At 38.3% G+C, this 17,520-nt stretch overlaps 6 annotated features.

Annotated features, from left to right (window-relative positions):
- Positions 1,965-3,164: an enhancer, noted in NCBI's record as "MED14-independent group 3 enhancer chr5:163546314-163547513 (GRCh37/hg19 assembly coordinates)". NCBI's record gives its function as "activates an origin of replication core promoter dependent on BRD2, BRD4, P300/CBP and CDK7 cofactors, and independent of MED14, by STARR-seq in HCT116 cells {active_cell/tissue: HCT116}" and the evidence as "EXISTENCE:reporter gene assay evidence [ECO:0000049][PMID:35650434]".
- Positions 1,965-3,218: a biological region, named in NCBI's record as "MED14-independent group 3 enhancer GRCh37_chr5:163546314-163547513".
- Positions 2,217-2,717: an enhancer, noted in NCBI's record as "H3K27ac hESC enhancer chr5:163546566-163547066 (GRCh37/hg19 assembly coordinates)". NCBI's record gives its function as "activates a minimal SCP1, AML or CMV promoter by ChIP-STARR-seq in primed H9 embryonic stem cells {active_cell/tissue: H9 hESC(primed)}" and the evidence as "EXISTENCE:reporter gene assay evidence [ECO:0000049][PMID:30033119]".
- Positions 2,544-2,873: an enhancer, noted in NCBI's record as "active region_23584". NCBI's record gives its function as "activates an Ori minimal core promoter by ATAC-STARR-seq in GM12878 lymphoblastoid cells {active_cell/tissue: GM12878}" and the evidence as "EXISTENCE:reporter gene assay evidence [ECO:0000049][PMID:35858748]".
- Positions 2,718-3,218: an enhancer, noted in NCBI's record as "H3K27ac hESC enhancer chr5:163547067-163547567 (GRCh37/hg19 assembly coordinates)". NCBI's record gives its function as "activates a minimal SCP1, AML or CMV promoter by ChIP-STARR-seq in primed H9 embryonic stem cells {active_cell/tissue: H9 hESC(primed)}" and the evidence as "EXISTENCE:reporter gene assay evidence [ECO:0000049][PMID:30033119]".
- Positions 15,196-15,540: a silencer, noted in NCBI's record as "fragment chr5:163559545-163559889 (GRCh37/hg19 assembly coordinates)". NCBI's record gives its function as "represses an EF-1alpha promoter that drives an FKBP-Casp9 reporter gene in an ReSE screen in HepG2 liver carcinoma cells {active_cell/tissue: HepG2}" and the evidence as "EXISTENCE:reporter gene assay evidence [ECO:0000049][PMID:32094911]".

The raw sequence follows: 17,520 nt of genomic DNA on the forward strand, positions 1-17,520 counted from the left end.
TCAGTCAGGATAGGCTAGGCTATGCTACAATAACAAACAATTCCCCTGACAAATATCCATGGCTTAAAGCCCAAAGTTTATTTCCTTCTCATGACAAGCCCATTTTGATTCTGGGCAACTGTCCATGCACTTGTCCTCCATAAACAAGTGTGGCATTGAATATCTATATCAACACATGCTTCCATGGTTACAATGGCAGAGGAAGAGAGAAGAGGTAGAGCCCCAACAAACTAATGTTTCTATCCGAAAGTTACACATGCAAATTTTGTTCACATTTTATTGGTCAAAGCATGTCATATCACCACAGTTCACGTCAGTAGGTTGGGATAGTACAATCCTACCGTATGTCCAGGCAGACACAGAAACTAGGTAGCAGTGGAACGGCAGTAATGTCAGCCACATTAAACAAATTGAATAACATACTTGGCAGAGCTCATTCTTCATTTCATCTTCAGAGAAAATGCTGCTGTGTCCTGAGAGATGTAAAGGAAATGTAAAGGAGATTTCTTATCCAACTTCTCATATTTTCTGTGGTCACTTGAGAACCATTACAGTTCTGCTGAAATAATACCAACTTAAATTCAACAATGCATAATAGTTAAGTGTTATATAAAGTGGTAACAGACTAAGTAGCATTATAAGTAATAGTACAAGAAGGGGCTCTGTGAAATCACTGGATACTTGAGATTTATGCAGATTGGCATTTTCATGAAAAAAATAAAGAGATGACCTATAAATAAGAAAAAACCCCACACAGCAGGTAAGAAAAGTTGCATAAACAAAAGCATGTGTAGGTAGGTATAAACAATAGAAGGGAGGATTATTATTAGTTTGGTGCAGGGGTAAGATTACATAGTAAAGGACAGGTTATGTGGTGGTGGAACTCAGTAACTGAAAGAACAATTGGAATTGTATTTTGTGGTTAGTGAGGAGACGTCACTGAAAGAAAAACATTGTGCAAAAATACAAAAGTTCAGTAGTGTTCCTCAATTCACTTATCTAGAAATTAGAAGAGCTGAAATTTAAATGAGTGAACCTAAGTGCAAACATCTGTGCACTTACTGTTACTTTATATTGTGTCTCAGATTGAAGGAGAGGGAAACTAAAGTGTGAAGAATGTTCTAGGATTGTCATGATAAGGGGACTGGAGGCTAGCCATAGGCACACACACAGAAAAGGATATCTCAAAGGAATACACAGCTTGATTATATGTTCATTCATTTCTCAGAATAAAAGAGTTAACAAAGCTCCCTTTAGTAAATAAAAATTTAAAGGAATTCCCTGAAATGTGTCTGTCATTAAGGGCAGGTAATGAATAGCTTGAAAAAACACATTCATTTCTTGCTACACCCACAGGCATTAAGAACTATTTAAAATATGTTTGCCTTCGAAACACTCTCCACAGACACAATTAAAAACTGCCAATGCAATTTCTGCTAGCACCTGGGGCAGATGCTTTGCAGGTTTCCATAGAAGTAAGCTTCAGGAAACAGTTTTGTTCTAGAGACCAAAAATGTGTTACTACCCAAGTAACGAAAGTCTTTCTTTGACTTTACCTTTTTGAGCTCTGGGGTGTGTGTGTGTGTGTGTGTGTGTGTGTGTGTGTGTGTGTGTGTATTATGAATATACATTTTTATATATGTGCATATATTTGTGTATATTTATTTATAAAGGACTTTGCCCTTGCATGATGGTTATAATGAAAATAACTAGACACATTTTATTAGAAGAATGAAATGAGCGCAATAGAAATACAGTTTGTTAGTATTTTAATATTTTAACTTTAAAATTGCACCTTGAATGCTGCTTTCTAAAATGACGTGTTGAGAGTTGGGAGATCTGGGTGTGTGGCTAATTATGTGTCCATTGTCACACACAGGAAAAGCCACTTTGATGGCCTTAGATAACTCTTGGGGAAACCAGTTGCTGGCAACTGTAAGAGAAAAGTACAGATGAATCTTGATGTTCTCAGATTTTATAATATTCGTCTAGATGCCAAATAATAATTGTTAAAACACCATCCAGGCCTACGTGGCGAAACCCCGTCTCTCCTAAAAATAGAAAAATTAGCCGAGCGTGGTGATGTGCACCTGTAATCCCAGCTACTAGGGAGGCTGAGGCAGGAGACCTGCTTGAACCCAGGAGGCAGAGGTTGCAGTGAGCTGAGATGGTGCCACTGCACTCCAGCCTGGGCAACAACAGCGAGATTCTGTCTCAAAAATAATAATAATAATACTTGTTAAAACATATATGTGCCAGGCTGTTCTAAGCATTTTATGACAACTGACTCAGTTTATATTTATACATATATATACATATATAGTTACAATATAAATATATGTAGGAACAATCCATGCTGCCATGGATTCTGCCATAATGTTGCAGAATTTTGCTCCTTTGTTCAGCTAAAACTAGGATCTTGTCACATGACTAGGAAGATTTAGGCATGCAGACACGTTGAAGGGTGAATAGAGCAGGATTTTATTGGGCAAAAAGCAGGGGAAAGGAAGAAAAAAAGCTCAGGAGAGCGAAATTGAGTCTTGCTGACAGGCCTCCCACCTCACAGATTGATTCCCAGGTCACTATAGGAGCTGGAGAGCAGGTTCCTCCCCTGCAAATGGCATAAATTCCCTGTGGCTCCACCCACTTCCCCCAGCCCACAAGTCTGGCTCCAGTTTGCTGTGGGCATGCCCAGACAAGTCCTGGGCAGGTTCCCTCGTTTGCACAAAAGCCTCTGATGTAAACATTTGAGGGGCGAGTAGGAGATTCTCTGGGGACCCCTTTTTATCTGCCTAGGCATTTGGCTGTCTCAGTAACAAAATATCATAGACAAGGTGCTTAACCAACAGAAATTTATTTTCGATCACTTCTGAAGTCTGGAAGCCCGAGATCATCGTGCCAGTATGGTCAGATTCTGGGGAGGGCTCTGTTCCTGCGTGGTAGATGTGTGTTCACATGGCTTTTCCTTGTTGTGTGAATGAGGTAGGGAGGAGAGGTAGAGAAAGAGAAATGGAGAGGGAAAGAGAGAGTTTTCTTATGTACCTTCTTATAAGGGAACTAATTTCATCATGAGGTTACTACCCTCATGACCTCATCTAACCTTAAGTAACTCCCAAAAGCTCCATCTCCAAACACTATCTTATTGGGGTTTGGAGAATCAACATACCAATTTTGGAGGAACGCAATTCAGTCCATAGCACCTGTGAACCAGATACTATTATTACACACATTTTAAAATTGAGAAACAAAGTCACAAAGAGCTTAAATAACTGAATTGGGGCCACAGAACTTGAAATGGCAGAAATGAGCATAGTTAATGGTCTTTAAAAAATTTCTATGATACTTTTCTGAATCTGTCTAACTTCCAAAACATGTTCTTGATAGAGATATATTAGCTGCTTCCCATTCATATACCTTTCAGAACACCAGCAGGAAAAAATAAATAATAATGAAAATTACAGTCTTACAAATATGAATCAACATAAGAGTAATTTCAAATTGAAGAGGAGCAACCCATGTTTTCATACTTATGAAATTATTTTAAAGCATACGTTTACATTTTTAGAACAAATATTTAAATTTTAAAGAAATCAATATAAAGGACTATAAATAATGTATTACCACCTTTGACTAAAATTCTGTTGTATATTTAGAATAATCGGGAATATATAAAAATCATTTGATTTTATTTATTTTTATTATACTTTAAATTCTGGGGTACAAGTGTAGAACATGTAGTTTTGTTACATAGGTATACACGGGCCATGGTGGTTTGCTGCATCCATCTATCCATCACCTACATTAGGTATTTCTCCTAATGCTATCCCTCCCCTAGCTCCCTTCCCCACAACAGGCCCCAATGTGTGATGTTCCCCTCACTGTGTGCATGTGTGCTCAGTGTTCAACTCCCACTTATGAGTGAGAACATGTGGTGTTTGGTTTTATGTTCCTTTGTTAGTTTGCTGAGAATGATGGTTTCCAGAGTCATCCATGTCCCTGCAAAGGACATGAACTCATTCTTTTTTATGGCTGCACAGTATTCCATGGTATATATGTGCCACATTTTCTTTATTCAGTCTATCATTGATGAACGTTTGGGTTGGTTCCAAGTCTTTGCTATTGCGAATACTGCCACAATAAACATACGTGAGCATGTGTCTTTATAGTAGAATGATTTATATTCCTTGGGTACATACCTAGTAATGGGATTGCTGGGTCAACTGGTATTTCTGGTTCTATATCCTTGAGGAATCCCCACACTGTCTTCCACAATGTTTGAACTAATTTATACTCCCACCAACAGTGTAAAAGTGTTCTATTTCTCCACATCCTCTCCAGCATCTGTTGTTTCCTGACTTTTTAATGATCGCCATTCTAACTGGCATGTAATGGTATCTCATTGTGGTTTTGATTGGCATTTCTCTAATGACAAGTGATGATGAGCTTTTTTCATATATTTGTTGGCTGCATAAGTGTGTTCTTTTGAGAAGTGCCGGTTCATATCCTTTGCCCAGTTTTTGAGGGGGTTGTTTGTTTTTTTCTTGTAAATTTGTTTAAGTTCTTTGTATATTCTGGATATTAGCCTCTTGTCAGATGGATAGATTGCAAAATTTTTCTCCCGTTCTGTAGGTTGCCTAACAAATTCTGAAATTGAGGCAGTAGTTAATAGCCTACCTACCAAGAAAAGTCCAGGACCAGACAGATTCATAGCTGAATTCTACCAGAGGTACAAAGAGGAGTTGGTACCATTCCTTCTGAAACTATTCCAAACAATAGAAAAAGAGGGAATCCTCCCTAAATCATCTTATGAGGCCAGCATCATCCTGATACCAAAACCTGGCAGAGACACAACAAAAAAAGAAATTTTCAGGCCAGTATTCCTGATGGACGTCGATGCGAAAATCCTAAATAAAATACTGGCAAACCAAATCCAGTAGCACCTCAAAAAGCTTATCCACCATGATCAAATCAGCTTCATCCCTGGGATCAAGGCTGGTTCAACATAGGCAAATCAATAAATGTAATCCATCACATAAACAGAACCAATGAAAACAACTACATTTATCTTAATAGATGCAGAAAAGGCCTTCAAGAAAATTAGACACCGCTTCATGCTAAAAACTCTCAATAAACTAGATATTGATGGAACGTATCTCAAATGATAAGAGCTATTTATGACAAACCCACAGTCAATGTCATACTGAATGGGCAAAAACTGGAAGCATTCCCTTAGAAAACCAGCACAAGACAAGGATGCCCTGTCACATCACTCTACCACTCCTATTCAACATAGTATTGGAAGTTCTGGCTGGGGCAATCAGGCAAGAGAAAGAAATAAAGAGTATTCAAATAGGAAAAGAGGAAGTCAAATTGTCTCTGTTTGCAGATGACATGATTGTATATCATAAAACCCCACCGTCTCAGCCCAAAAACTCCCTTTAAGCTGATAAGCAACTTCAGCAAAGTCTCAGGATACAAAATCAATGTGCAAAAATCACAAGCATTCCTATGCATCTAGAACAGACAGAGAGCCAAATCACAAGTGAACTCCCATTCACAATTGCTACAAAGAGAATAAAATACCTAGGAGTACAACTTACAAGCAATGTGAAGGACCTCTTCAAGGAGAACTACAAACCACTGCTCGAGGAAATAAGAGAGGGCACAAACAAATGGAAAAACATTCCATGCTCATGGATAGGAAGAATCAATATCGTGAAAATGGACATACTGCCCAAAATAATTTATAGATTCAATGCTATCCCCATCAAGCTACCATTGACTTTTTTCACAGAATTGGAGAAAACTACTTTAACTTCATATGGAACCAAAAAAGAGCCCGCATAGCCAAGACAATCCTAAGCAAAAAGAACAAAGCTGGAGGCATCATGCTACCTGACTTCAAACTATACTGCGAGTTTACAGTAACCTAAACAGCATGGTACTGGTACCAAAACAGATACATAGACCAAAGGAACAGAACAGAGGCCTCAGATATAACACCACACATCTATAACCATCTGATCTTTGACAAACGTGACAAAAACAAGCAATGGGGAAAGGATTTCCTATTTAATAAATGGTGTTGGGAAAACTGGCTAGCCATATGCAGAAAACTGAAACTGGACCCCTTCCTTACATGTTATACGAAAATTAACTCATGATGGATTAAAGACTTAAACGTAAGACCTAAAACCATAAAAATTCTAGAGGAAAACCTAGGCTATACCATTCAGGACATAGGCACGGGCAACAACTTTATGTCTAAAACACCAAAAGCAATGGCAACCAAAGCCAAAATTGACAAATGGGATCTATTTAGACTAAAGAGCTTCTTCACAGCAAAAGATTTTTTAACTAAATAGGTTTTGCTTGGGAATGACTAAAATATCAACAGTTGAACAAGAAGAGCCAGGTTGAAAGCTGAGGGGCAAGATAAGAATTTTTTTCAGTGTGATTAAGTTGTTCTATAGTTTGCTATTTTGCAGAAGCTGCAAGGGAACTAATTATGTATAATGGTGAAAATATTTTCCTAGGCATTACCCTTCAAAATAGCTCTTTGTCTTAGTTCATTTGAGCTGCTTTAACAAAAATAACATAGACTGGGTGACTTATAAACTACTGAAATTTATTTCTCAGTTTCAGAGGTTGGGAAGTCCAAGATCAAAGCCCTGGCAAAATCAGTGTTTGGTGAGGGCCTGCTTCAGGTTCATAGATGTCCTCACATGGCAGAAATAAAAAAGGGAGCTCCGTGAGATCTCTTTTTAAAGGCAATAATTCCATTTATGAGAGCTCGTCCCTCTAGGACGAGGTCTAATCACCTCCTAAAGTCCCCAGCTGCAAATCGCAGCACATTTGGAGTTAGGATTTAACACATAAATTTGGGGTAAAGGGCATAAACATTCAGAATATTAAAAATTAAGCTCTGACAGATTTATCAGGCTTTATTTAATCTGATAAAATTAAGAAGAATGTCTACCTAAACTAATTATATCAGTGGAACAGACATATTAGCTTATGGGATAAAGTTTTATATGATAGGAAACACCACGTCCATCTTCCTAGTTGGGTTTTTTTTTGTTTTGTTTTGGTTATGTATAGGAAACAATTTAACTTGTGACAAAAAGAAAAGCTTCTGCTAATAAGTGTAAGCCTGAACACATTTCTCCATCAATGAGAACCTATTGGGAAGTGGCAATTTCACACTGCTTAACTGATTTCATTGCATTCCTGCAATTTTTCTTTTCTATTTAACCTCTGCTTCTGTTCCCTAATCCTGAAATAGACCAGTAATAGTCTACTTTAATTTTATCTAGCCAGAGCCAAAATAGCACAAATGTTAGAAATGTTTGTTTACTAGGGTCTCAGACTAGTCTTCTGAAAACATTCTTTTGCCTACTGTAGTTGACAGAAAATAGAAACTAAAATTTATATTTGACAAATATTTTTAAATAACTCAAGTTCCTAAACAGGACATCTAACTATGGTGGTTTTTCCTGAGTATAGTAACAATAATTCATATAATATTCCTAAAACTCATGAGAGAAACCAGGTATTAAAAAAATTGCTTAATACCCCCCAAATTTTTCTCTGGTCAGTGTAGCATGATGAACCTTTAGATGTCTAATTAGAATTTTATTAAGCATTGCTTGGTGTTGAAAAATCATGAGTTATGAGCCTGCTTTTTGTGATGTAAATGGGCTGGATAAGTTTAGATTTCAGTCTTAATTCTTTGAAGGATTTATAGAAATACTTGGTTTGGCTATAAATTGTTTCTTTGTTTCTGGTTAAATATGTAAGTCAAATGTGAAGAGGAATCAAGGATCTTTGTAACCAGGGAATTAATTTATTCAGGTTCTACTGGGTGAGAGCTTCTCTCAGCTAGATCTTCTGTTCATGATAATTCTTCTTGGAAATTCACTTTCTAAAATAGAAAGTCATTTTTCAAGGTACAGCTGATAACGTATCTAGAGAACACAGAACAGCCTGTTTTCTTTGAGCATTTATGATTAAAGGATTGAATTCAGGTCTTTTAGTGTATTATATATACTAAGGACAGAGGGCACTACTTAGTCATGTACTTGAAGCAAAAAGTAAAGTCTTTATAAAGATCTCAGAGGGAGGCTGACTGACATTATATATTTGCGCATTTATTTTTTTTATCAGAAGAAATGAAATGAACAAACTTTCAGTAATAGGATAATGTAATGAAAAATATTTTGTTGACTATCTATTGTTCCAAATACTTGCTTATGGGTTTATCTGGAGAATATTAGTAGTGGGTATCAAGAATAAACTGTTAAACACAAACTATTTGTTCTGGAATGTTCTTAGAAAAAATAGGTGTGCATGCATATATATATGTATACACATCACATATATACATATTCATGTATTTATTCATATATAAATGTATAATCAATTTGGAACCTTATATAGAGTTTTTTTTAGTTTCCCAAAAAGCAATAGAAAATAATATAAAACCTGCAGATTATATTTCTGTATTAGTCCATTTTCACACAGCTGATAAAGACATACCTGAGACTGGGAAGAAAAAGAGGTTTAATTGGACTCACAATTCCACATGGCTGGGGAGGCCTCAGAATCATGGTGGGAGACGAAAGGCACTTCTTTTGCCACAAGAGAAAATGAGGAAGATGCAAAAGCAAAATCCCTTGATAAAATCATCAGATCTCATGAGACTTATTCACTACCATGAGAACAGTATGGGCGAAACCACCCTCATGATTCAAATGATCTCCCAATGGGCCCGTCCTATAATACATGGGAGTTATGGGAATAAAATTCAAGATGAGATCTGGGTGGGGGCACAGAGCCAAACCATATCATTCCACCCCTGACCCCTCCAAATCTCATGTCCTCACATTTCAAAACCAATCATGCATTCCCAACAGTCCCCCAAAGTCTTAACTCATTTCAGCATTACCCCAAAAGTCCATAGTCCAAAGTCTCATCTGAGAGAAGGCAAGTCCCTTCCACCTATGAGCCTGTAAAATCAAAAGCAAGCTAGTTACTTCCTAGATACAATGATCGTACAGGTATTGGGTAAATACGGCTGTTCCAAATGGGATGAATTGGCCAAAACAAAGGTGTTACAGGCCCCATGAAAGTCCAAAATGCAGCAGAGCAGTCAAATTTTAAATCTCCAAAATGATCTCCTTTGACTTCATGTCTCACATCCAGGTCATCCTGATGCAAGAGGTAGTTACCCACAGTCTTGGACAGTTCCACCCCTGTGGCTTTGCAGGGTATAGCCCCCCTCCTGGCTGCTTTCACAGTCTGACGTTGAGTGTCTGCAACTTTTCCAGGTGCACAGTGCAAGCTGTTGGTGGATCTACCATTCTGGGGTCAGGAGGACAGTGGTCCTCTTCTCACAGCTCCACTAGGCGGTACCCCAGTAGGGACTCTGTGTGGAGGCTCCAACCCCACATTTCCCTTTTGCACTGCCCTAGCAGAGGTTCTCTATGAGAACCCTACCCCTGCAGCAAACTTTTGCCTGGGCATCCAGGCATTTCCACACATCTTCTGAAATCTAGGTAGAGGTTCCCAAACCTCAATTCTTGATTTCTGTGCACCCACAGGCCCAACACCACATTGAAGCTGCCAAGGCTTGGAACTTCCACCCTCTGAAGCCACAGCCAGAGCTTTATGTTGGCCCCTTTCAGTCATGGCTGGAGTAGCTGGGACACAGGGCACCAAGTCCCTAGGCTGCACATAGCATGGGGACCCTGGGCCTGCCCCTTGAATCCACCTTTTCCTTCTGGGTCTCCACGCCTGTGATGGGAGGGGCTGCTGTGAAGGTCTCTGACAAGCCATGGAGACACTTTCCCCATTGTCTTGGGGATTAAAATTAGGCTCCTTGCTACTTATGCAAATTTCTGTAGGTGGCTTGAATTACTCCTCGAAAAATGGGTTTTTCTTTTCTACTGCATTGTCAGCCTGCAGATTTTCTGAACTTTCACACTCTATATTTCCCTTTTAAAATGGAATACTTTTAACAGCACCCAAAGTCACCTTTTAAATGCCTTGCTGCTTAGAAATTTCTTCTGCCAGATACCCTAAATCATCTCTCTAAGTTCAAAGTTCCACAAATCTCTAGGGCAGGGGCAAAATGCCACCAATCTCTGTAAAACAAGAGTCACCTTTGCTCCAGTTCCCGATAAGTTCCTCATCTCCATCTGAGACCACCTCAGCCTGGACCTTATTGTTCATATCACTATCAGCATTTTTGTCAAAGCCGTTCAGTCCCTAGGAGGTTCCAAACTTTCCCACATTTTCCTGTCTTTTTCTAAGCCTTCCAAACTGTTCCAACCTCTGCTTGTTACGCAGTTCCAAAGTTGATTCCACATTTTCAGGCATCTTTTCAGCAACACCCCACTCCTGGTACCAGTTTCCTATATTTGTCTGTTTTCACACTGCTGATAAAGAGATACCTGAAACTGTGAAGAAAAAGAGGTTTAACTGGACTTACAGTTCCACATGTCTGGGGAGGCCTCAGAATCATGACAACAGGTGAAAGGCACTTCTTACTTGGTGGTGGCAAGAGAAAACAAGGAAGATGCAAAAGCAAAAATGCTTGAGAAAACCATCAGATCTCATGAGACTTATTCACTACCAAGAGAACAGTATAGGGGGAACTACCCAATGATTCAAATTATTGTGGGAGTTAATTCAAATTAACTCCCACAATATATGGGAGTTATGGGAGTAACATTCAAAATGAGATTTGGGTAGGGACACAGAGTCAAGCCATATCAATTTCTAAAATATTTCAGAGGAAGAGAACATTTTTGGAAGAGACTTATTTAACTGAATTATTTCTTTTGCAAATAGTGATTGATATCTTTTGTAACTGAATACCACTAAAATGGATTAAGTCCTTCTACTGCCCCCAATAATTATGTCCTGTAAAATTGTAACAAAATACTTATTTCTACCAGCACAGTTTTTCTTTGTTTAATATAGTTAGAATATAGTTAGGAAAATGAAATGTTTAAAATATCACAGCATCAATGTTCTCCCCCAAATATTGATTATTGGGACTGAAGACTAAATAAAATGTCTTGGACCCTACACTTTTAACACTCTGTTATCATAATTTCCAAAGGAAGAAAACTGCATTCAGGGCCAATGAGCAGTTTAAAAGCTGTGTGTTTTTAAATTCTGGGTCTGCTGATGTAGTTGTGCCCTCTCAAAGATCTCAGTGAGTTGTGGAGCCCTGGGGAGCTGTCTCAACCTTGGATGTGTTATTAAACCAGATGGCCATGCACAAACAGTACTTCGAGTAAATACTTATTACTTAGTAATGCAAATGCAATTCTAGTAATAAGCTTCACTAAAACCATTCTTGGAATACATTTTAAATAGCAAATGTATTTACAAACACACCATTCCCCTTTGAAATGAGCTGCAGGGAGAGTTTGAAGGAGGAAAGAGAATGGGAGTTCATGACCCAGACAGCAAATGTGCCAAAAAAAAAAAAAAAAGAAAGAAAAGAAATACCATATTTAAACAGATTTGCCTTCAGAAATATGACTAAATATCTACATACTTTTGTTTATTCTAAAAATAGTTCGGATACATTTTTTAAAATCAAGAATTAATTCATTAAAACCTTAGACCTCTAGCAAGTAAAATTACGGGTGTCAGAAAGAATCACACATATTTTATGAAGGCAAAACAACATTTTTAGAGAGTAGAATATTTCAAAGAGGAAATGTTTATGTATCAAGAAAGATATGGAAATATCATGTGGTTATTTGGAGGAAGAGGAAAGCAGTTAGAAAATAAGAAATATAGAGAGCTAGGAAAACCAAACACTTAGAGTAGGAAGATACACGTGATGAAATGTTAAATGTGAAGGTAAAAGTATAGATTATGTAATTCTATCTACAAAATTACTGCATATATGGTAATTGACATAAATACATGAAATGGTTGGGAGAAAGATTGACAAAAACATTTATTTGATTAGGCGATTTTATTGTAGATGATTTTTTGCCTTAAACTTTTTTAAACGTGTTTTTACAATAAAATAACACCTTTAAAATGTTAACATGACATGATCCGCCTGGAATCACTTTGGTAAATGAAGTATCACTAATCCCCTTTTTTATCTGGAAAGTAGTACCAGTAGTTACACACAGAGAAATATACATACGAAACCCTCCTAACTGTTCTCCTGCTTCCACCCTTGTCACTCCATAGTCCAGTTTATTTGCAGCAGGCGGGAAGATCTTTCTAAAGCACGTGTCATAACATGTCACTCCTTCGCTCAAAACAGTCTAATGGCTTCCCACCTTGCAGTTAAATCCAAAGCCCTCCATAAACTCTGTGCAGTCTGCAGCCTGCTCCACTTTCAACCTCTTTTGACTTCCTTTCCTATTCCTGACTCATTCTACAGCCACATCAGGCTCTGTCATGTCCTTTCCACACATAAGGAGCATCATTGCCTCCCTTCTTGCATTGGCTGTTCCCCGTGTCTGGATCACCCTGCCTCCAGCTGGCCCCAGGACTTGCTTGCTCCTTTTGTTCAGGTCTCTGCTCATGTCCTATCCTGATGGATACCTTCTTTCCTCCCAATTAGTCCTTATTCTCTTACTGTTTTTCCCTGATAGTATTTATTCCCAAGTGAGATATTATATCATAGTTTGTGTTTATGATCTTTCCCCTTGACTTGGATTTAAACTCCCTGAGGACAGGAGCATTGGGGAATTTTTGCTTTTTTTTTTTTTTTTGCCTGCTATATTCTCAGAGACCAGCACAGGACCTGGACTTAGCGATATATGAGGAATATGTATATTTTCCAACACCAGACATTCTCAGGTCTTAGGTGTAGACTTTGTAACAAACCAAACTTTTCCCATTAGGCTTTTTGTCCTCTTGCTTATCCTTAAATTAGCCTTTTCTACTGGTCCCATACCATTTAAGGAAAGGGTTTTCTCTTCTTTTATTTTCCCTCTTCTCTTCCTTCCTTCTTCCCTCCCTCCCTCCTTCATCCCCCCTTTTAATTTTTCAACTACAAAATATATCAATTTGCTTTTACCTCATTACTTTCTCCTATGTGATACACCCTAGAGTGAGACTACTTGTCATTTCTGGCAATACAAATACATATATAGACCCTGTCTCAAAAAAAAAAAAAAAAAAAAAAAAAAAAAAGAAAAGAAAAAAGAAAAAGAATAGTGGGATTTTATTATCTACAAATTTAAAACATATGTTTGTATATTTATATATATATTTGTTTTCAATGTGTGTGTATGTACATACATATTTGTATGTTTTAAATTTGTAGATAATAAAATCCCACTAGTCTCTTTTTCTTTTTTATTTTTCCTTTTTTTTTTTTTTTTTTTTTGAGACAGAGTCTTACTTTTTCACCCAGGCTGGAATGCAGTGGTGTGAACAATGCTCACTGCAGCCATGACCTCCAAGGCTCAAGCAATCCTCCCAACACAGCTTCCTGAATAGCTAGGTCTGCAGGCATGCATCACCATGCCTGGCTAATTTTTATATTTTTGTAGAGACAAGGTCTCACTACTTTGCCTGGGCTGGTCTTGAACTGCTGAGCTCAAGTGATCTGCCCACCTCAGACTCCCAAAGTGTTGGGATTATAGGCATAAGCCACTAGATGTTTAGCTTCCCTGTAACTTATTTTCTTTAATGTTATTTGGAACTGCATGATCTTAGAGTGTCTTTTTGCTGCCTTTGACCTCCTCCTATGGTCCCCATCAAATAGTAAAAAAGATTATGGATTCACTTATCTACAAAATACAGTTTTACCAGAGATGAGTAATGATGTGGTTTGGATATGTGTCCTGCCCAAATCTTCAAATCTCATGTTGAACTATAATCCCCAGTGTTGGCAGTGGGGCCTGGTGGGAGATAATTGGATCATGGGGGTGGAGTTCTCATGAATGATTTAGCACCGTCCCTTTGATCCTGTTCTCATGGTAGTGAATGAGTTCTCACAAGATCTGTTTGTTTAAAAGTGTGTAGCACCTCGCCCCTCTCTTTCTTGCTCCTTCTCCAACTGTGTAAAGTTCTTCTCCCTCTTTTGCCCTCATCATGATTGTAAGTCTTCCTGAGGCCTCCCCAGAAGCTGAGCAGATGCCAGCATCATGCTTTTTGTACAGCCTGCAAAACCATGAGTCACTTAAACCTTTTTTAAATATATAAATTACTCAGTCTCAGGTATTTCTTTATAGCAGTATAAAAACAAATTAATACTGAAAATTGGTACTGAGGAATGGGGCATTGCTATAAAGATACCTGAAAATGTGGAAGCAACTCTGGAACTGGGTAACAGGCAGAGATTGAAGTAATGTGGAGGGCTTAGAAGAAGACAGGAAGATGAAGGGAGATTTGGAACTTCCTAGAGACTTATTGAATTGGTATGACTAAAATGCTTATGGTAATATGGTCAATGAAGTCCAGGCTGAGGAGGTCTCAGATGGAAGTAAAGAACTTATTGGTAACTGGAGTAAAGGTCACTTTTACTCTGTTTTGGCAAAGAGTCTGGCTGCATTGTGCCCCTGTTCTGGGGATCTCTGGAACTTTGAACTTCAGAGTGGAGATTTAGGGTATCTGGCAAAAGAAATTTCTAAGCATGAAAGCACTCAAGAGATGCCCAGATGCTTCTAACTGCATACATTCATATGTCTGAGCAAAGAAATGACATAAAATGCAAACTTATATTTAAAAAGTAATCAGAGTGTAAAAGTTTGAAAAATTTGCAGCCTGGCCATGTGGTAGAAAACAAAAGCCCATTTTCAGGGGAGGAATCCAAGTAGGATGCAGAAATTTGCATAAGAAAAAAGGATCCAAGTGCTACTATCCAAGACAATGGTGAAAAGGCCTCAAAGGCATTCAGAGACCTTTGTGCAGGCCCTCCTATAACAGGCCCAGAAGCCTAGGAGGGAAGAATGGTTTCATGGGCCAAGCCCAGCGCCACACTTTCATGCACAGCTCCAGGACACTGCTCACTGGGTCCCAGCTGCTCCAGCTCTAGCGTTGGCTCAAAGGAGCCCAGGTATAACCTGGGCCACTGCTTCAGAGGGTACAAGCCATAAGCTTTGGCAGCTTCCATATGGTATTAAGCTTGCAGGTTCACAGAATGTAAGAATTGAGGCTTGGGAGTCTACACCCAGATTTTAGAGAATGTATGGAAAAGTCTGGATGTCCAGGCAGAAGCCTGCTGCAGGGGTGGAGCCCTTATGGAGATCCTCTGCTAGGGCAGCACAGAAAGGAAATGTGGTATTGATGTCCCCACACAGGGTCCCCACTGGGTACTGCCTAGTGGAGCTGTGAGAAGAGGGCCACCATCCTCCAGATCCTAGAATAGTAGATCTACCAACATCTTGTACCTTATTCCTGGAAAAGCCCCAGGCCGCTCGCACTCAGTGTGAGGGGGATAAGCCTTGGAAAGCTACAGAGTGGCTTTGGGAGCCCACCATGTGCTCTGCATGTGAGTGAGACATGGAGTCATAGGAGACTCTTTGGGCCTTTAAAATTCAGTGACAAGCCTGCTGGGTTTTACACTGGCATAGGGCCTGCAACCTCTTTCTTTTGACCAATGTCTTTCTTTTGGAAAGGGAGTATTTACCTAATGCCTGTACCCCCATTGTATCTTGGAAACAATTAACTTTTTTTTTTTATTTTATAGTTTCATAAGCAGAAGGGACTGGCTTTTTCTCAGATGAGACTTTGGACTTTAGAGTTAATACTGGAATAAGTTAAGACTTTTGGGGACTGTTTGGGAGGCATAATTGTATTTTGCAATATGAGAAGGACATGAGATTCAGGAGGGGCTGGGGAAGAATAATACAGTTTTTATATGTGTCCCTGCCCAAATTTCATGTCAAATTGTAATCCCCAGTGTTGGAGATGAGGCCTGATGCTAGGTGATTGAATCACGGAGGCAGAGTTCTCACGAATGGTTTAGCACCATCCCTTTGGTGCTGTTCTTGTGACAGTGAAATCTGGTTATTTAAAAGTGTGTACCCTCACCCCACCTTGCTCCTTCTCTGGCCATGTGAAATGCTGCTCCATATCTTGCCTTTTGCCATGATTGTGAGTTTTGCTGAGACCTCCTAAGAAGCTGAGCAGATGTCAGCATTACGCTTCCTGCACAAGCATGCAGAAGGATGAGCCTGTTAAACCTCTCTCCTCTATAAATTACCCAGTCTCAGGTATTTCTTTATAGCCGGGGGAAATTGACTAATAAAAATAATTGCACTTAGAATCTTTGTATAAATTTTCTTTTTACCCTTATAAAGCAGGTGTGGGAAATGACCTGCTTAGTTGAAAAAGGGAAATCAGTTATTTAGAGAAAAATGGTTATTAAAATTATCTTTGGTAGAGAAGATATGCCACAACTTTTTGAATGACTCTTACTAGCACACTGATGATCCTTCCCTTACTTGATAGTGTACAGCTTCTGTCTGACCTAAGGCTGGAGTTGCAGGCATATTAATGGTAGATAAGGATTTTGCTTTATTTACATTTTTCATGCAACACTGCTTCCTTTGGGACTTTTTAAGAAATGTAATTTATATAAATTATTTTACTTTTGATTATGGATATTTTCATTAAATTTAATAGATGTACATTGTTTGAAGCCAAATATATTATAACTTCCATTTCTAATAAAGATGGCTTTGATACCCAGACTAACATATAAGAGTGCTGCATAAGATGTAACAATCATATTATAGACCTTAAGACAATCAGGAATGGTTTTGATTCTAAACATGAAGTAAATGCAGAAAATAAGAGAACTTTGCACAGTCTTGGTACATTAGAGATGCTCAGTAAATTGAGTGTAAATTCCATTTATAAATAAAATATTAATTCTGATGTTTGAAGGATAAGGGCAGATAAAACAGGTATAGATGACATCACTCTCTTAAGAAAGTCAATGAAGTTAAGTTTATATACTCTCTCCTCTTTTCTCTATCTGCCTGATTTTACCCAAACTAAATTTTTATTTTAAAAGTCTTGCATTCTTTCATGTGTACTTTAAGCAAACCTTTTCAGGTAACATGTCTGAAAGTGTTTCCCTCTCCCAGAAATAAATGAAATAGAAGATTTCTCCTTGTTACGTAACTCTTACTTGCATATACCATTCAAATATTCATATTCTCTGTTACATCAACATAAAAGGCAGTCATTTCTTGCTTGTTTCTGTGCTTGCTTGTACATTTATGACATAAATAGCATCTGCAAATCTAAAACCCCTCTCCTAAGGAAAGCACCACACTTCATAAGAAAAGTGAGTTTCCTTCAATGATAAACAAACAATTGTGTGACTAGCGAAAGAGTCAAGGCATGCGAGGCTGACTGGTAAATTCTTATTAGATGCTCTTAAAATTGATCTCATTGTGGAAGATATTAATAGAGATTATACTAGAAACTGTAAACTGGAATATTTGCATCTAGTCATGGCTGGGTTTCCTTTGCCTGTTTTCTATAAATATCTACTGTTCAGTGAGATCTGTG

Source organism: Homo sapiens, chromosome 5, assembly GCF_000001405.40.
Source record: "Homo sapiens chromosome 5, GRCh38.p14 Primary Assembly".
In the NCBI taxonomy this organism is placed as follows: domain Eukaryota; kingdom Metazoa; phylum Chordata; class Mammalia; order Primates; family Hominidae; genus Homo; species Homo sapiens.